Source organism: Homo sapiens, chromosome 1 (genome assembly GCF_000001405.40).
Source record: "Homo sapiens chromosome 1, GRCh38.p14 Primary Assembly".
Classification (NCBI taxonomy): Eukaryota; Metazoa; Chordata; class Mammalia; order Primates; family Hominidae; genus Homo; species Homo sapiens.
In genome coordinates, this window is record NC_000001.11 from 156,690,308 (window position 1) to 156,709,008 (window position 18,701).

Consider the following 18,701-nt stretch of genomic DNA (forward strand, 5'->3'; position numbering starts at 1 on the left):
CTCCCCACCCCAGTCCCTGAGCCCCTTGAGAAAATAAGCCTATCTTCTGGGTTTCATCCCCTTGAGAAGTTAAAGCGACAGCAGGAGGCACTTAAGTTAGCCTCCAGGAAGGACTTCCCTGGAGGAATGTGGGCAAACCCTGGGGAGAAGTGAGCCAAAGAAGGCTGTGGGAGGGTGGACTCTCTCTGAGACTCAGCTGGGCTGTGGAACGCGTTCTTGCCCTGAGACTGGGTGCTAGACGGGATGACCTCACCTTTCTGCCTCTGTGTTTCTACAGCTCCTTGGTTGGTTTCTGCATCAGGGGCTGTGATGACAGAAGGACAATTGCAGGAAAGTTTTGATGAAAGATTGAGCCTTTATTTGCAGCTGTGAGGACGGGGGCTGGGGCTGAGACACAGGCAGCCTGCGGGCAGCAGAGGCTGGCGGTGGTAGAAGTGGGTTCTTCTGGACACCCGTCCCACAGTGCTTGCTCTGGAGGTCCCGTCCTGGCTCCAGAACTTGGTGGGAGGAGCGGGAGTGGATGTGCTTGGCAGAGAGTAGGAGCTCAGAAAATACTTCCTCAATGGATGGAAGGCTGAATGAAAGTTCTGGAGTCAGAGAGTGCATGGGGTCCCGCTCACGAGTGTCTGACACATAGCTGATGCTCAGCAAATGTTTGTCAAGGGACTAAATGCTGCCAGCCTGCCCAAGGCCAGGCACAGGCCTGGGTCCTTCTTTGTAGGCACCCCAAGTGAATATGAAAACAGTCATGACACCTGTGCCTGTGTCTTGGGTCTCCTTCTACTCAGGCACGTCCTGGGGTGGGCTGCGATGGACTTAGGGGCTGGTTGGGCGGCTGAGGAATCTTCTGGGTCCCCCCTTCTGGCTGCAACCTGCATCAGGCAAGGTGGCTCCTCCTCCCCACGCAGCTCTCGCTGAGACCTGGGTCCCCTGCTCTCAGGCTCCTCTTGAAACCTTAGCTCATAACCCCTCACCTGAGCCTAGAGGGCCCCACACCTGTCCCGGCCTCATCATCTGCAGCGGGGAAGGACAGGAGAGAGGCCCAGCACGGGGGCAGGGGCTTGCCCACTCCGGGATGAGAGGTGGGAACGTAGGCTGTGGGAAAGACTGACATTTCTTTCCACACTGAAGAACCCAGGCCCCTCGCTGGTGAGGAAGAGGGTGCGGAGGGGTCTGGCTGACACCCGTTGGGACTAAGCTGGTTTGTACTGAACCCAAGCAGCCCCTCTTCTGTGACTAATGATTTCCCTGACACCTGGGTGACCCCCAAGCTGGCCATGCCCTTTTGTGGTCCTCCAGTTAGTTTCCTCTCACACAAAGGAGAGGCAGGATCCCTGAGGTCCCTTCCTTCTGGGACTCTGCTCTCTGGTTCTGGAATTCCCAGCTTCTAAGATTCCACCTTGGGGCTGCGGGAGGGAGGACTCCTTGCTGAGGACCATGCAGCTGTCGGGCTTGAGTCACCAGCTTGAGTCCCTGCCTGGCCTGACACACCCGCTCACCTCAAGCAGCGGGGGTGGGAGCTGAGGCTCAAGTCTAGACTCCTCCAGACGCCCCCAGATCTGCCCTGACGGCTTCCAGAATTGCCCTCCTCTCTGCCTCTGCCATTGGGTCTCTCCACCGCCCCCTGTGAGCGGCTGGATGCCTGGAGGAAGCTGGAGAGGCTGGCCAGTGCTGCAGTGGGCCGGGACAGGAACAAGGAGCAGCCCACAGTTTCTGGGGTGCAGGGCAGGGACGGAGAGCAGCAGACATGTGATGAGGAGGGAGAAGAACAGAGAAGATGAACTTTTAAAGTCCTTTCCCGCTGGAGGAGCGGGGGCTGCATGTCCAAAGGATGAAAAAGGGACCAAATGTCACGGGAAATGAATGATGGGCCAAGAGGAGACCCGGGGCTGGGTTAAGTGGGGTCAACCCTGTCTCACCCGACGCCCTTCAGTGCCAGTGATTGAGCAAGGGGCTGACCCTGCCGTTGGGGAGCGATTGATGAGAGCAGATGCGGGGAGCCTGTGGGGACTGGGGAGGAGGCTCAGGAAGGGGAAGTGGGGGGGAAGGAGCAGCCCGGCTTCTGGGACACCCAAGGAAAGAGCAGGGAGGGACCCTGACTCCTGCAAGGGTGTTCTAAGGAGCTCTTCTCTTCGAGTGGAAATGGGGACGGGCAAGGCACTCTAGAGGGCCAAGTGTCACGGAAAGAGAAGGAAGTTAGACAGGAGAGGAGGGGGAGGGGGCTCCTAGGTCCCATCCTTCCATAAAGAGCCGTGGGTCTGACCCCGATGCAGGGGAAACCAAGTGTAGGCAGCAAGGATGTGTCCTCGGGGCTGCAGGAAAGTGGCACTGGACCCTGGGAAAGATGGTAGGAAGGGGCCGCCTGCAGCTGGGGTGGGCCTGCAGTGGGGAGATCTGGCCCTGGCTGGGGGCGGGGGTGCTGTCTTCCTGCCAGGTTTCTGCCGCTGCCTGGGAAGAGCCCAGCCCAGAGATTCTTATCCAGGGCAGGAACAGAACTGGTTTCTCGACTGGCAGTGCCAAGGGGGACAGGGCAGGAGGAAGCCAAAAGGTCGGGAGGGCAGTGCCAGGCCCAAAGGAGAGAGGTGGGAAGCCCTGGCCAGGGGACCTCCGACGGTCACTAGAACAAGAGCCTCAACCCCCTCTGCTGGGGCCCCGTCAGCCTGGCCCATCCACCTTATTTGCCTGTGACTGATTCACTTTCCACAAAGACTCAGGGAGCCCCTCCCAGGCCCCCCACAGCCCACAGCCCTGTCCCCCTTTTTCCTCAGGTGCGACTGGCCCAGCCAGGAGAAACACCTGGTTGGACTCAGCTCCTCCCCTCCCCACCTCCCACCACACTTGAAGCCTCCAGAGATCATTGGGGGAGGGGCAGGGGAGCCTCAAGCGGTGGGGAACCCTGAAGACTGTCCTCAGAGCCTGCTGCCTTTTATCCCCCGCCACAAAGGGGCCGGCAGCCACATGCCCATCCATCTTGCGCCTGTGGCGGTCCTTAAGCAGTTCTTTGTTGGGACCTAGGGTCAGAGGTGCTGGCCAGTACGCCCCCTCTCCTGGGACCACCGCCCCTGGGGCCCTTTCTTCCTCCTCCTCCCCTCCTCCCAAGTGTCTCAGGATCTCTCCACTTTCTCCTGTGTCACCTCCCCTGTCCCCTCCCTTTCCTCTCCTCCCACCCAGTCTCCTCCCTCTCTCTTTTTTTTGCCTCTCTCTTCTCTCATTTTCTGTCTGTGTGTCTTACACTGTGTGTGTCCCTCGCATTCTCCATCTCTGTCTGTGTCTCTCATTCTGCCTCTCTCTGTCTTTCTCGGGGCTTCCATCTCTGGTTCTGCAGCTCCGCATCCCTCCTTTGAGGACCGCTGTAACTCGGCCCTTCCTGCCACACGCAGGCATGAAGTTGTCCTCAGGTGCTAGGGTCTCGGAGGCCCCACTGGGCCCTGGGCTCCTGCTGGGCTTTGTCCTCTCTGGTCTCAGCTGTGCCCTGAGCACCTCTGGGTTTTGACTTCACTGGGCCTTTCTCTCAGCTCCACACTCCCATCTCTTGTGGGGGAAGAAGAGGAATCGGCCCTGCCTCAGTTTCCCTAAGATGTAGGTGCAGACTCTCCCAGTGCCTGTCAGGGTCTGCCATGTATGTCAGCCTCCCAACCCCAAGGCAGAGTCATTCGCTTCCTGCACCCCCCTCCCCTCCCCACTTGCCTTGCCCTTCCACCTTCTCTGGGCCCCCTTGTTCCAACTGTGGCAGGACTGGAACCATGTTTCGGCCTCTCCTGTGGTTGGGCTCTGAGAAGCTTGGACTTCAGAGAAGAGAAGCCTCTCTGCCCACAAAGATCTCACAGAATTTTGGGGGCACAGGCAGGAGGTGAGAGCTGCTGTGCCTTTTCTCCCAAACGCACTGCTGAGTAACAAAGGCCCAGGTAACGAAAGAGGAGTCCAAGAGGGCCTGGGGTGGGAGGGGAAGCTGGAGGGACTTTCTCACGGATGGGGCCAGGCTGGGCCAGCAGGGTGAGGTAGCCCCTCCCTGATCCAATCTCCCAGTCCATGACTGTAACTGTAACTTGTAACTTCCTTGTCATCTCAGGCTGGCCCTGGCGGGCAGGAAAGTAACTGGAGAAGCAGAGCCAGGAAAGGGAGCAGCCCCCGCTCTGCACTCAGGGAGTCTCCCCATCTCAGGGATGAGACACAGCCTCTGCCTTCAGGGAGCCCCCAGTCTGAGCAGGGAGCCCCAGCTCCTGCTCTCAGGGATCTCCTGGGAAAAAGAGAGGCCTCCTCTCTCTGCCTTTCTCAATAACTTTGTTCTAGGAAGAGACAAACTAGGCAGAGAAATAAGAGCACGCGCTCCAGACGAATGGAAAGACAGAGCTTCAGCCTCCAGAGCCTAAGGACGTGGGGAGTAGGGAGCCAGGCTAAGGTGGGAAGGGGTAGGGGGAGCTGGGTGACCTGGATGGGAATGAGATGGAGCAAGGAATCTGGAAGGAGGTGAGATGGGAGGCGGTGATGCAGAAAGGAGGAGAGGAAACAAACAAACAGGCTGGGGCACAGTGGCTTACGCCTGTAATCCCAGCACTTTGGGAGGCGAAGGCGGGCAGATAGCTTGAGGCCAGGAATTTACCAGCCTGGCCAACATGGCAAAACCCCCGTCTCTACTAAAAATACAAAAATTAACTGGGCATGGTGGCGCACGCTTATATTCCCAGCTACTCAGGAGGCTGAGGCAGGAGAATCGCTTGAACCCGGGAGGCGGAGGTTGCAGTGAGCCCAGAAAGCGCCACTGCACTCCGGTCTGGGTGACAGAGGGAGACTCTATCTAACTTTTTTTTTTTTTTTGAGATGGAGTCTCCGCCGGGCGCAGTGGCTCACGCCTGTAATCCCAAGACTTTGGGAGGCCGAGGCGGGTGAATCACGAGGTCAGGAGATCAAGACCATCCTGGCTAACATGGTGAAACCCCGTCTCTACTAAAAATACAAAAAATTAGCCGGGCGTGGTGGCATGCGCCTGTAGTCCCAGCTACTCGGGAGGCTAAGGCAGGAGAATGGCGTGAACCCGGGAGGCGGAGCTTGCAGTGAGCCGAGATCACGCCACTGCACTCCGGCCTGGGGGACAGAGCGAGACTCCATCTCAAAAAAAAAAAAAAAAAAAAAAAAAAAAAGAGATGGAGTCTCGTTCTGTCTCCCAGCTGCAGTGCAGTGGCGCGATCTCGGCTCACTGCAACCTCCACCTCCACCTCCCAGGTTCAAGCGATTCTCCTACCTCAGCCTCCTGAGTAGCTGGGACTATAGGCATGCGCCACCACGCCCAGCTTATTTTTTATTTTTTTATTTTTTTGAGATGGAGTCCCGCTCTGTTGCCCAGGCTGGGGTGCAGTGGTGCCATCTTGGCTCACTGCAAGCTCCGCCTCCCAGGTTCAAGCGACTCTCCTGCTTCAGCCTCCCAAGTAGCTGGGACTACAGGCACGCGCCACCATGCCCACCTAATCTTTATATTTTTAGTAGAGACAGGGTTTCACTATGTTGGCCAGGCTGGTCTCGAACCCCTGACCTCTTGATCCGCCTGCCTCGGCCTCCCAAAGTGCTGGGGTTCCAGGTGTGAGCCACCGTGCCCAGCATTTTTTTTTTGTTTTTAGTAGAGACAGGGTTTTGCCATGTTGGCCAGGCTGGTCTCCAACTCCTGACCTCAGGTGATCCCCCCGCCTCAGCCTCCCAAAGTGCTGAGATTACAGGCGTGGGCCACCATGCCCAGCCCACTTTTTTTTTTTTTTTTAGGTGGAGTCTCACTCCGTCTCCCAGGCTGGAGTGCAATGGCGTGATCTCGGCTCACTGCAACCTCCGCCTCCTGGGTTCAAGCGATTCTCCTGCCTCAGCCTCCAAGTAGCTGGGATTACAGGCGCATGCCACCACACCCAGCTAATTTTTTTTTTTCTTTTGAGACAGAGTCTCGCTCTGTCACCCAGGCTGGAGTGCAATGGCGTGAGCTCGGCTCACTGCAACCTCCACCTCCTGGGTTCACGCCATTCTCCTGCCTCAGCCTCCTGAGTAGCTGGGACTACAGGCGCCCGCCACCACGCCCGGCTCATTTTTTGTAGTTTTAGTAGAGACGGAGCTTCACTGTGTTAACCAGGATGGTCTCGATCTCCGGACCTCGTGATCCACCCACCTTGGCCTCCCAAGGTCTGGGATTACAGGCGTGAGCCACCGTGCCTGGCCTTTTTTTCATATTTTTAGTAGAGAGGTTTCACCATGTTGTCCAGGCTAGTCTCGAAATCCTGACCTCAAGTGATCCTCCTGTCTTGGCCTCCCAAAGTTCTGGGATTACAGCTGTGAGTGCCTAGCCTGGGAGACTCTATCTAAAAACAAACACAAACAAACAAACAAAAAGCAGGCATCCAGAAAGACTCTCAGCAGCCAGTCCAGCAGGCTTCATTTTTCCATTTCTGAAAACAGCCCCGCCAGCCACTCAGTGACCAAAACCAGAAGCCGCAGAACCATTCTCCACACCTCTCTTTCTCTCATCCTTTCACCTCCCCTCTACACATCACTGTGCCCTGCGCCTGACTCTCTCCATCCTCTGCCTGTACACTTCGCCAGCCTCCTGCTGGCTTTTCCTTCACCCATTTCTCTAGTCCCTCTCCACCTTGGTGCCAGAGAGAACTCCTAAAAACACACAGGCAATGCTACCCCCTTCAAAAATCCTTTGATGGCTTCTCATTGCTCTTAGAATAAATAACTACTTGGCGTGGAGTTCAGGATTTGCAAGACCGGGCGCTGGCCACCCCTCCAGCCTCCCTGCACTCCGGTCAAGCCTCCGATGCTTGGCTGCCTCCAGGCTTTTAGCCTGTGGTTTCCACTGCCCAGAGCACCTTCCCCTCTGCTTTTACTCCTCTACGCACCTCCTCTGCCCATGCCCGGTCTACCTGAGGCCTGCTTTATTATTCTCTCCCTCGTCCCCCTTTTCCTTATAGCCCTTACCACAATTTGCAATTATGTATGTATTGGTACACTTATTTTTAAATTATCTTTCCCCACTAAAGGTCTGTTTTCCCCTACAGGTCCCATGAGGGTGGAGAGCTTGTCTGTTTGATTCATTTCCGTGTTCCTAGTACCTAGCAGGGTGCCCAGCTCCTAGGAGGCTTTCAGGAAACAATATTAGATGAGTACATGAAAAAGCCCCTCACCTCTCCAATCCCGCACTCAGAGCCCAAGGGCTCTGGACACTGTCTCCCTACTCCCCGACCTTGGCCCTCTGCCCTCAGCCGTAGTGTGTGGCTTTTCATGGGGCAGAAGTGGGAGGCCCTGGCCCCGGGGCACCCTGGTCTTGCAGGGAGAGGAGGCTTATAGGCTATGAAGCGTGACCACTGACTGTCAGCGCTGATGAAGGGAGAGGCCACTTAGGGCTACACAAGGAGCTAAGCGTTGGAGAAGCGCTGGGCGCCAATGGACAGAGAGGATGGCAAACCATACAGTGGGTCCTTCTCAGAGGAGCACATGTGGTAAGGGGAGGGGCCATGGCTTAAAGAGCCTCCAGTACTGCTTTGGATTTTATTCTGGGCAAAAGGAAGGGCTGCAGCTAAGGTGAGTTTTTATTTTGTTGTTTTTTAAACAGGGCACTGACATGATGAAAGTTTTGTTTTAGAAGAATCCCCTGGCAGAAGTGTAGGGGGTGGGTCAGAGACAGGACCATCACTCTCTGAGGGCTTCCTGTGGCTAAGTGCTATGTGCTGAATGTGACTTATTTTACTTAACTCTTGTAACAACCCAGTGAGGTATTATTTATAATTGCTAGATATGGATTAGAAACCTGAGACTCATGGTGACCCTCTTCATTGGAAAACTGTCCCTTCCCATGTCTTAGGATTGAGGGATTGTCACAGTGCCCCACCTGTGCCAACAGCACCTAGTCCAAGGGATGGTCATGTGACCAAAGCAGAACAGAGTTGAGTCTTGGAATGTTGAAGATAGGGACCCTGGGTCTCTCTTTTTTTTTGGATCTCAAACCGTAACTGTAAGCTTAGGGCATCTGAAGGCAATTTCCCATGACTTGGAGAAAACTATGTGACAGGATTGAATGTGGCTGATGCACAAAAGAAACAGATGAGGCCGGGCACGGTGGCTCACGCCTGTAATCCCAGCACTTTGGGAGGCCGAGGTGGGTGGATCACCTGAGGTCAGGAGTTCAAGACCAGCCTTGCCAACATGGCGAAACCTTGTCTTTACTAAAAATACAAAAATTAGTTGGGTGTGGTGGTTCGTGCCTGTAACCCCAGCTACTTGGGAGGCTGAGGCAGGAGAATCACAGAATCACTTGATCCTGGGAGACGGGGGTTGCAGTGAGCCGAGATTGCACCATTGCACTCCAGCCTGGGTGACAGAATGAGACTCCATTTCAAAAAAAAAAAAAAGAACAAAGAAAGAAAGAAACAGATGAGCAGGATGTGTGGACAGGGAGAGGTTGATGACCGTCACTGAAATTCTGGATCCAGCCATACCTGAAGCCAGACCCAGCTGGAGCTTCCTAGTACGTAAGCCATTAAATTACATTATTTTGTGTTTTAAAAACACAAAATAACTGGCTGAGTACAGTGGCTTGCACCTGAAATCCCAGCATTTTGAGAGGCTGAGGCAGGAGGATCGCTTGAGCCCAGGAGTTTCAGACCTGGTGTAGACCTGAGTGTGGAGGCTCAGGGAGAGGGTTGGAGGAGGATCCAAGGGACCTGGAAGATTTAGAAGCCAGAGGCAGAAGGGCATGTGGGAGATTGAGGCAGGGAGGAAGGATGGTAGCAGAGATGGCTTGTCTCAGACACAAAGGGCTGACAGGCAGGATGAGACCTCTCACCCAGAGGCCCAGGCAGCTGCAAGGCCAGCTTGTGGGTGCCGTTGAGCTCATCTGGAACCATGTGGGAGGCCAAGGCCAGGCCTGGGGTCACCCATGGGCTGAAGCTGGAGGAGAGGGAAGCAACAGCTGGAGGAGGAGGAGGAAACTGTCACCATGATGGAAAACATGGGAGAAGGTGGGAGTCAGCTCCTCAGAGCCCAGTGCCCCAGCTGAGAGGTCAGGAGGAGGAGGCCCTTGTGACCTTGGAAGCCAGAGCAGGACACCAAGGAAGGACCTTGGAGAAGGGAATGTGGAGGTGAGGCTTGTGGATTCAGCAGCAAACGAAGGGGTGGTGGTTAGAACGGTGACTGGAAGGACTGTCCTCTCCTGTTGTATAACTCAGTTCCATGCTGCAGAAACACAAGTCTTTCCCATACTACATTTCAGAGGCAAGGTTGAACTCAGGTGACTTATCTACCTGCCCAATGAGCCAGAGACAGGTTTTATTTTTTTAAAGCATTTTAATAAAATTAACAAATAAATATTCTAAACTGTATAGGCTACAGGGACAAAGGGTAGAAGCTAGAGGGCCAGTCTTTCCTGCTCAGGCCCTCAAGTCCCCTTTAGAGAGACCCTGCTCTGGGCTGGTTTGGGGCTAGGACTGCTGACTTGGGGAGGCGGGGAGTGAACCCGGAATGGGTGATCTGGGCTCTTGCAGCCATTCCTCTTTGTTGGTGTAGGGGAGGAGAGAAGAGGTCAAAGAAAGCAAGACCCTGCAAGAGGCATCCCAGTGACCCCCAGAAGTGACTGGGGTAAGGGGAGCGCTATCCTAGAAGGAGGGGGTGGGACGGAGGGGGCAGTGAAGCAGGGCGGTGAGCATGGCCAGTGGTGGGCTTCGGCCGCGGTTCTACCTGTGGCCACTCACTCTCGGACGTAGACCCTGGTGCACACAACGTCATCCGCCGTCATGGTCTGGAAGGACAGAAGTAGTTGTTAGCCTGAGAGGCCCCTGGGGTCCTGTGGCTTTGGAGAGGAGGGTTGAATGGAGGTACTCTGCTTGGCCTCCAGGTCCAAACCTGCTTCTTGGCTCAAGACCAACAGGCAGGAGCTGGTCCCAGAATGCCCAGGCATCAATGGAGGGAGGATAGCAATAGAGCCCCTGGGGCCCGTCCTCCTCCTCAAGCCAGGAAGATCTCCCTGAAGAACTGCTGGGATCCCTCAGTACATGCCCTTTGCTTGCATAAAAGGAACACCATTTCTAATTCACACAGGGCACTGTATGGGATAGGGACACCTTAGTTCTGTTCAAGCAGTCCCATCAGCAGGGTGCGGAGTCCAGCCATGGTTGTTCTTGAGTCTCCTGCACCCTGGGGTCTCCCAGAGAATCTTGGAAGGTAGCACTGGGTTTGCTATTAGTGGGGAGGAGGCAGGACTTACCAGGATCAGTTCCCCATCGTTGGTCAGTTCTCTGGTCCACGAGGTCTTGGGGCCCTCTCCCTTCAGGAGCTTCTGCTCACAGACCATTTTATTCTCACTCTCCCATTTCACCAGGCTCTGCAAGAGACAGGTGGCCAAGTGAGCTGGGCCCATAGCAGGGGCAATGCAGTGAGAGGGATAAGGGAGAGAGCCCCTTTCTAGCCCCCACCACCACCTAGGGATTTTCCCTACTGGGACAGAGAGAAGCTAGGAGTTAACTGCTAGCCTGGAAAATGGCAGGTTGAGAGGCAGGGCAATGACGCCATGACCCTGGAGCCCCTTCTGGCACTCACCTTACAGGGCCTCCCATCCACAGTCTGCTCCTCAAACTCCTCCCCAACCTTGAAGTTAATCTCTGTGGTGCGCACGGTGGTGGAGGTTTTGATGTAGAAAGTGTCTCCCTCCTGTTTGATCTCCACTGCTGGCTTGGACGCTGCAGCCACAGCAATCTTCCTCAGCATCACATTCACCCCTGTGGGGAGAGAGGAGAGGCTCACCTTTTAGGGGCCTTTGGGCACCTCTCTCACACCCTCCCCATAAGACAGTTGGAGCAGGCTGATTTGTGACTTGCTTGGGGTGGGTGTGTTGGGGGGTGCATCTGCCTGGTGCCTGGGTGTCTAAGAAAGTGCCTTGAAGGAGACGGTAGGCGGTGCAGCCCTGAAAGATGAGGGGGTTTAGGGAGGAGAGGGAGAGAGGCAGTGGCCTGCCCCTGGGAGTCCTGTTCCTAGCTGTGGCCCCACCTTGTTGAGTCAGCAGGTCTGGATCAGGCTCCCCACGTCTCAGCTCTTCAGTCCCAGAATGCCCAGGGGCAGCTTCTCCCCAGCCCCCTACCCAACAAACATCCTGCTACTGGCTCCGGTTGTCTCTGTTTACTTCACTTTTGGCCTTTTGTCTACCCTGTTGACAGCTCATCAGAGTCACTGGGACTGTACCCCTGGCCAAGCACAGGCCAGACCCCATCACTCATGTCCTGGGAAGTAGGAGCCATTTCCCTTTTTGCCCTATCTACCCACCGTATCTAGTGCTAGATAGGTCTTCATTTGCCCAATTTCTGCCCCACAGCAATGAAAGAGAGCAGGGGCAGCTGCTTCCCTCTACAGAATGGTCAGCAGCCTGGGAAGACAGAGGCTCTGGAGTAAGGTCCAGGAGGCTGTGATTTCCTCCTGGCTCAGCCCCCTTACAGGCTGGGTGACCCTGAGCAAATGGCTTAACCACCCTGAGCCTTAGATTCCTCAATTGTAAAATGGAAATAACAGCTTCTTCAAAAGCCAATCAAGGTTGGGTATAGTGGCTCACACCTATAATCCCAGCACTTTACAAGGCCAAGGCAGGTGGATTGTTTGAGCTCAGGAGTTCGATACCAGCCTGGGCAACATGCTGAAACCCCGACTCTACCAAAAAAAAAAAAAAGCCAGGGCTGGACGCAGTTGCTCACACCTGTAATCCCAGCTACTCAGGAGGCTGAGGCAGGAGAATTGCTGAATTGCTTGAACCCGGGAGGCGGAGGTTGTAATGAACCGAGATCATACCACTGCACTCCAGCCTGGGTGACAGAGAGAGACCCTGTCTCAAAAACAAAACAAAACAAAAGTCTGGGCGCAGTGGCTCACGCCTGTAATCCCAGCACTTTGGGAGGCCGAGGCGGGCGGATCACGAGGTCAAGAGTTCAAGACCAGCCTGACCAGCATAGTGAAACCCCATCTCTACTAAAAATACAAAAATTAGCTGGGCATAGTGGCGCGCACCTGTAATCCCAGCTACTTGGGACGCTGAGGCTGGGGTAGGAGAATCACTTGAATCCGGGAGGCGGAGGTTGCAGTGAGCCAAGATCACACCACTGCATTCCAGCCTGGGCGACAAGGCGAGACTCCATCTCAAAAAAAACAAAAAACAAACAAACAAACAAAAACGACCTGGCGCAGTGGCCCATGCCTGTAATCCCAGCACTTTAGGAGGCCGAGGTGGGTGGATCATCTGAGGTTGGGAGTTTGAGACCAGCCTGACCAACGTGGAGAAACCTCATCTCCACTTAAAATAAAAAATTAGCCAGGCATGGTGGCACATGCCTCTACTCCCAGCTGCTCGGGAGGCTGAGGCGGGAGAATCACTTGAATCCAGGAGACGGAGGTTGTGGTGAGCCAAGATTGTGCCATTGCACTCCAGCCTGGGCAACAAGAGCAAAACTCTGTCTCAAAAAAAAAAAAAAAAAAAAAGCCAATTGGGATGGTATGTGTTTAGGACTTAGCACACACAGTGCCAGGCATATGCTTAAGTTTTCAGGAAACAATAGCTATGATTGTTGGTATTATTTTTACTGATAAAAGGAAGGCAAAGGGTCAGGTGCCATGGCTCATGCCTGTAATCCCAGCACTTTGGGAGGCCGAGGCAGCAGGACTGCTTAAGCCCAGAAGTTTGAGACTAGATTGGGCAACACAGTGAGACCCTACCACTAAAAAAAAAAAAAAAAAAAAAAAGGAAAGCAAAAAGCTGGGGCTCAAAGCTCTCTGCATTAGGCACCGTACTCATCTGCCCTTCTGGAAGACTCCCATACCCCTGTCCCCTCAAGGGAACCCCCTCTGCTGTGAGAAGAAGGAATAGAAAAGGAGACTGCCCTCCCCGCTCTGTGTGATGTATCCCCTTCTTCAGGACCCCCCACTCCCCTCACAGGGTCCGGCTATCTCATTCAGCCTCGTGGATTCAGACTCTCTGTGCACCTCCATATCCCAGCCCAGATTGGACCCCTTCTCTCTGCTCCCCAGTTATTAACCGAAGTGGGGGAGATAGGAGACAGCACCCCTCTGAAAGGAAGACGTGCAGAGCAGGGGGCCTCTCTGGATGGGCTCCAGGTCTAAGCTCCACACACCCACCTCACCTGGCCTGATCTGCCGCCCTGTCCTGGAGTAGAGCCAGGGATGCACTAGGCGGGGGTGAAAGGGCCCTCTGCCAGGTAGCAGGATTTCCCTGCCCCTGATCTGGCCAACTCCCTGGACCTCCTCCAGACCTGGGTTCCTAGAGAAACAAATCCTCTTTCCCCTCAGTGCCAAAGCATACCTACCCTACTGCAAACAGAAGAGAGAGGGAGAGAGGAAGCCTTGCCCCTGGGGAGCCCAGGACCCCCATTGTTGGCTGCTGAACTCTTGTGTCTAGGAAGAAATGACAGGTCCCCAAGTCTTATTGAGATGGACCCTTGACTAGAGCTAAGAGGGGTGTGCCAGGACCGAAGTTCCTGCAGAGGCAAGGCTGGGTTCAGAGGAGACATCCTTTCAGCGAGCCCCTGGTGCCTGTGGAGCTGAGGGCCCAGCTTAGCCGGCCTTAGCTGGCTCAGGACTGTGTTTGTCTAATGGATCTGTTTTTAATCTGCCCCCTGCAGGGCCTGAGGAGGGCACGTGGCTCAGAGAGACCCTGCAGGGAGGACAAACAGACTGAAGACAGACAGCAGGATTGGGGCCTTGAATCTTACTCTTCAGCTGGGGCCTGGGGGTGTACCAGACCACCACCTCATCCACTGAGGACAGGGGCCAGAATCCAGAGAAGATGAGGAGGGAGTGGCATCTAGGCTTTCCAAAGAGAAAATTTCTTTTTGTCTTTAAGTTTAGCAAGGACAGAGCAAGAAAGACTGATATGACTCCAAGAAGTATTGTGGTTAGATCGCAGGAAGAACTAACGGCAAGGACTGATGGAGATCCCTGCTCTCTCTGCAGCATTCCAGACCTGTCTTAGATCCAGACTCACTCCTATAGTCCAGGGAGAGGGGTGCCTTCCCTCCCTCCCCTCTCGCCCAACCCAGCCGAACTACCGTCTCTCTGTTGAGTGCAGGAATTGAAGGCAGCAGGCCTGCCCTTACGCTCCCAGTGGCTGGGGTCCTTAACTAACGTCCATCTCTCCCCCAGAGTCCTCTCCCAGTCACCAGGTCCTGGCACTCTCCCCTGCCCCAGATGTCTAGCCCAGTTGGCCCAGAGGGCACACAGAAGGTGGGCTGGAAAAGTGGGAAAGGCAGTCTGGATTGACTTAGTTTTCCCCACCTTTGACCAACACACCCAATTGGGCTGCAGCCGATCTATGGTCGGGGGAGGTAGGTGGGAACCTAGATTTTTGGAAATGTGGGATTGGGGTTTCACACGAAACCATTTGTTGAAATCCAAGAAAGTGATAATTATCCCTAGCGATTTTAGAACTCTGGAGCTGCTCGCTGTATGAAAATACTTGTCTCACAGATGGGGGGTGGGGAGAGCAGAGTGGAAAGTGCAGAGGGGGAGGAAAGTGGGGCTCAGGGGGCGCTGGGGCAGCAGATCACCTCGCAGGCAGAGCTGGGCGCCGAGGGGTAATGAGCCTGCCCTGGGGATTGGGTTACCGAGGGGGGCACCGGGAAGGAGATTGGAATGTCTCCGAGCGGCTGGGCAGGGTAGGGAACCGGGCTCCCAGTCTGGATGCAGGGTTCGTGGCTCCACCAGCCCGCAGCTTCTGAACTGCAGAGAGCCAGGTGCCTCGGCCCGCCGAGTCCGGCCGCTGAGGCCAGCCTCCCCTTCCCCCAGAGGCCAACCTCGCGCTTCTGGTTTCTACGTGATTCACAGGCCGTGAGTCACCGCAGTGTTGGCACCGGTGGGCCCCCGCAGGAGAAAGCGGGATTTAGGCGTCGTGCCCAGAGCCCCGGGACCCGGACGCCTGGCACGTTTTTCGGGGATGCAGGCACCCAGTGTCTCACGCCCTGATTGTGGTCCCGCTGTCTTTCTCATCCCCAACTTCGAGGACTCCAGAGCCCCCCCTTGCCCCACCTGGGCCCTCGAACATTTCCTTACCCAGCACTTTGAGCAATTCCTCGAAGTTTTCCGATCGGATGATTTTCCAGTTGCCAGAGAAGTTGGGCATGGTGGCGGCGCGGGAGGCGGTCCCCGTAGACTCCTAGGCTGGAGCACTGGACACTGTCTTTTAGTCAAAAGAGACGTCGCCGTCGCCGGGTCGTCAGGTTCTGGAACCAAGACAAGTCCAGGGACAACCCCAAAGCTGGCCTGGGCTCCCGCGCGGACAGCTTTTATACCCTGTACGGAACCGCCCCTGCCCAGGATTGAAGTGGCCCCGCCTCCCGCTCCGCCCCCCCCCACCTGGGGGGCCCTGCGCCCCCGCCACCAACCTCTGGATCTAGCCCGCGTGTGGGTCCAGGCTTCTCTGGGGACCGAGATAGCCTTCTCCTGCGCTAGTAAGTGGATGGGGAAGCGGACGCAAAGCCAGCACTTGAATCGCGCTCTCCGCAGAGGCGGGGGGAGCTAGCTGCGGGCGCAGATGCTCAGGGCTCGTGTATGGCTGTCCCCCACCCGAGTTCCTCACGTCTCGCCTGTTCCCCACCCATCCCCAACCTGACTCGGTGCATTCAACTCCTTGGTGCCGGACACCTGGCGACCCCACCCGCAGGCGGACCCCAGATCTTGAGCCGTAGCTGGCCCTAGCTCCATTGAACCCTGAACTGGATCCAGTGGGACCACTCCGTACTCAGAGAGGGGCTTGGGAGCTGCGGGGTTCCGGGGGTTAGGGATCTAAGTGAGGCAACGGCGCCCCCTGCTGGAACAACTCGGAGAGGCTGGGCGGGGGCGGCACGGTCCCCCCACCCCTCCACCCTGCTTCGGGCTCACGTAATGCCTGGGGACTCTGGAAGTAGTCGCCAGGCGACTCGCTCCCCTTAATGCGCTGGGCGGACATTGAAGGGTTAAGCAGGAGCCCAGGGCGCGAGGCTGGGAGGGCAGAGGTCACAGCCAATCACTTGACGCAAGGTCTTTATTAAAACGCTTTCTCTGTCGCTTCACTCCCGAGACCCCGAGGGGGTCTCAGTAGGGGGAAGGGAGGGAGGCGGGGACAGAGGCGCGGAGCCCTGGCGAGCTGCGCCACCACCTAGATAGGCGGGAGGATGGGTGCCGGGGGAGAAGGCGGAGCAGGGTCTCAGGTGTCACCATCCTGAGCTGTAAAACGGGCGGAAGGAGCGACCTCCCCTCCCTTGGAGAGCGGCTTTGAAACGGGAGATCAAAGAGGGTGGGAGGAGGGCACGGCTTCCTGCAGAGACCCGAGTGGGAGTGGGCGAGACCCCAGTGGAGATGGCAGGGAGACGGAGAAACAGAAACGGAGGTCAGGCGGGGAGCCTCGGGGACAGGCCTGGGACCCGAGGCCGGAAACCGCAGAGGAGCGAAGCCTGGCGGGATGCAGTGATTGGAGCCAAAGGAACCGTCCCGGCCTGTCCAACGCGGGGGGGCCTTCGGCCCGGTGGCCCTGAGCGAACCGATGCACGTGGCCCCGCCGCATCCCATCCCCCACCCTCCCCAGACTCTCCCTCCCAGCTCCTTCTGAGGCGGAAAGAAAAACCCTACATCTGGTCCCAGCCCTGGGTCCCTGCCCTGGCCCCTCCTCGCCAGCGTGGCCAAGGGTGGAGCAGGCAGTCGCTCTCAGATCTCTGAGCCCTTATGTTTAGAACCTAGGGGCGATCTAGGGAGTTGGGAGCTTTGGTGGGAGCTGGGGAAGAGTCTGGAGGAAGATGACCAAAGGAGAGGGGCCAGAGTGACCTCAGCATTAAGAACTGAAGGCTGGAGAATGTACTGGGGGGTCGGGCCTCCGGGTTGCAGAGAGGGAAATCTGCAGAAATGGGTGGGTGAGAAAATAAAGCAGCTGGGCTGACTGGGCAGCAGGAGGGATGGAGATTCCACTGCATAGGACTTCTCTATGGGGCCCCGCCCGCAATAGCCAACAAACTGAGATTTGAATACTTCAGCCTGGGTTTAGGGGTCCAGGTTTTGTGTGGGAGAGCTTACTTGGGGGTGTTTGGGAGGCCTGGGCTTCTGCAAGGAAGAGGGCAGCAGGTCAAGGAGCTCTCTGAGGAAGGACAGACAAAAGCAGAGATGGTGGAAGGAAGCGGGGTGGGGCGGGGTGGGGGGTTCCCTGGGAAGTGCTTAGGGCCTGGGGTTGCAGGCACAGCCCCAGCTCCTCCCCCATCCTCCCTGCTCAGCAATGCTGTAGGTAAAGGAGGGGGATTAGGCTCTGACAGTGAAATCAGGCTCCTGGCCAAAGGGATGAGGAGAGGCTAGAGGAGGGAACATGGTGGAAACCAGATTCCTGCTGCCCCTCCTTCCCTTCACTGCCCCCTGCCTCCCCCACCCAGGTCATTTCGTCCATCTCCATGCCACCAGCCCTCTTGAGCCCCCAGCTGGAAGCGCCCAGCCTCCTGCTCAATAAGCATCCCTCCTCCTGCACGACAAAAGGATCAGTGCACTCTCCCCCCTAGCCTTGTGAGTGACTAAAGATGTTAAAACCTCACCCAAAAGATGGTCACCAGGATGCAGGGACAGTCATAGGAGGGGGTGATTGGCCCCTCGATGCTAGAGCAGGGGAGCACAGGCTGGATGGCTTGGCTGAGGCTGCTGGGGAGGCTGGAGCCAGGCAGTGGGGCTCCCTGGGGTGGGGGCAGGGAGACCTGGGCCCACTCCCCTCTCCTCACTTCCCCACTCCCTCCACCAGCCAACTGGCCATGATTTCCAAAGAGACAGAAGTAAGACAAAGGGAAGTCGGGCTGGGAGAGGAATTCTTTCCAGATGTGAGCATTTGCGGTTTGGCAGCTCTGGGCCTGAGCTCCAGCTCCAGCCCCAGCACCCTAACCCTGGCTGAGGGAGGTGGGTAGGGGGTCTAAGCAGGGTGCTGAATAGCTGAGGCCGAGGTCTCAGCCTCTAGCAGCCCTGTTACCCCAGGGAGCAGCAGGCACGGAGGGTTCTTAGGGAAGATGCTAGGGAAGGGGACTCGGGGAGGTGGAGGGGTAGGAGATGAGAGAGTGGAGGGGCCTGGGGAAGGGGACTAACCAAGGAGGATGGAGATGCCTAGAGGCAAGGAGCAGGGGCTAGGACCCTGGAACCAGGCAATGGGGAGGAGCTGCAGCCTTCATCAGCCACTCAGTCACAAACAACTGGCTTTAATTTCCCGCTGGGATCAATAAGGAGAAGGAATTTCCCAGTGCCTCTGGCCTTTTAATTATGACCTAATCTGCTACAGATCTGCCCAGGGTGACCCTTTGCAGGAGCTTTGGTCATAACCCTCTTGGGGCCCCCCCAGGAATCTGGAGACTCAGTGAGGGGAGGGTGCAAAGTTGATGAGAAAAGCTGGGGGGGCAGAGGTGGGATAGGTAGGGGTGGAGTGAGGAGGAAACAAGCTCGAGAGACTTAGGAGAGCAACATTCTGGGACTTTGTTCCATGGTGGTGTGGCTAAAAGGAAGGTGGCTGGTCTTACACCTGAAGGAATAGAGATGGGCAGGAGAGGGCTCCTGGATGGTGAAGAGTGTGAGTGGGTGTAGATGTGTATATAACTGAGGCGTCTAGGACTTGGGGAGAGGAGAACCCCCTCCCCTTTCCATTACTTCTTGAGGCTAGCAGGGAGAAGGAGTGACCACCCAGCCCAGCCGCTGGA

General features: G+C 56.4%; 1 protein-coding gene across 2 annotated transcripts, besides 4 other annotated features; it reads right to left on the reverse strand.

The window, feature by feature from the left end:
* Positions 1,796-2,713: an enhancer, noted in NCBI's record as "OCT4-NANOG-H3K27ac-H3K4me1 hESC enhancer chr1:156661895-156662812 (GRCh37/hg19 assembly coordinates)". NCBI's record gives its function as "activates a minimal SCP1, AML or CMV promoter by ChIP-STARR-seq in primed H9 embryonic stem cells {active_cell/tissue: H9 hESC(primed)}" and the evidence as "EXISTENCE:reporter gene assay evidence [ECO:0000049][PMID:30033119]".
* CRABP2 (cellular retinoic acid binding protein 2) lies at positions 9,299-15,477 on the reverse strand. Of its 2 annotated transcripts, NM_001199723.2 has the most exons (5): positions 15,402-15,477; positions 15,070-15,239; positions 10,567-10,745; positions 10,235-10,351; positions 9,299-9,769 (listed from the first exon to the last, which is right to left on the reverse strand). In NM_001199723.2, exons 2-5 carry the CDS (start codon positions 15,137-15,139, stop codon positions 9,719-9,721), a joined length of 417 nt encoding a protein of 138 aa, NP_001186652.1. In that variant the 5' UTR covers positions 15,140-15,239; positions 15,402-15,477; the 3' UTR covers positions 9,299-9,718. The 2 variants fall into 2 exon arrangements, with proteins under 2 accessions (NP_001186652.1, NP_001869.1); NM_001878.4 differs by lacking the exon at positions 15,402-15,477 and having other exon boundaries at positions 15,070-15,276.
* Positions 14,330-14,831: an enhancer, noted in NCBI's record as "H3K4me1 hESC enhancer chr1:156674429-156674930 (GRCh37/hg19 assembly coordinates)". NCBI's record gives its function as "activates a minimal SCP1, AML or CMV promoter by ChIP-STARR-seq in naive H9 embryonic stem cells {active_cell/tissue: H9 hESC(naive)}" and the evidence as "EXISTENCE:reporter gene assay evidence [ECO:0000049][PMID:30033119]".
* Positions 16,421-17,097: an enhancer, noted in NCBI's record as "H3K27ac-H3K4me1 hESC enhancer chr1:156676520-156677196 (GRCh37/hg19 assembly coordinates)". NCBI's record gives its function as "activates a minimal SCP1, AML or CMV promoter by ChIP-STARR-seq in naive and primed H9 embryonic stem cells {active_cell/tissue: H9 hESC(naive and primed)}" and the evidence as "EXISTENCE:reporter gene assay evidence [ECO:0000049][PMID:30033119]".
* Positions 17,776-18,452: an enhancer, noted in NCBI's record as "NANOG-H3K27ac-H3K4me1 hESC enhancer chr1:156677875-156678551 (GRCh37/hg19 assembly coordinates)". NCBI's record gives its function as "activates a minimal SCP1, AML or CMV promoter by ChIP-STARR-seq in naive H9 embryonic stem cells {active_cell/tissue: H9 hESC(naive)}" and the evidence as "EXISTENCE:reporter gene assay evidence [ECO:0000049][PMID:30033119]".

Excerpts from the sequence above, each read along its gene's own strand:
- CRABP2 (NM_001199723.2), bottom strand. The coding sequence starts at position 15,139 with ATGCCCAACTTCTCTGGCAACTGGAAAATCATCCGATCGGAAAACTTC. Across the intron at positions 10,746-15,069 it reads GGAATTGCTCAAAGTGCTGG|GGGTGAATGTGATGCTGAGG; the intron begins GTAAGGAAATGT and ends CTCTCCCCACAG. Across the intron at positions 9,770-10,234 it reads ACGATGGGGAACTGATCCTG|ACCATGACGGCGGATGACGT; the intron begins GTAAGTCCTGCC and ends CTGTCCTTCCAG.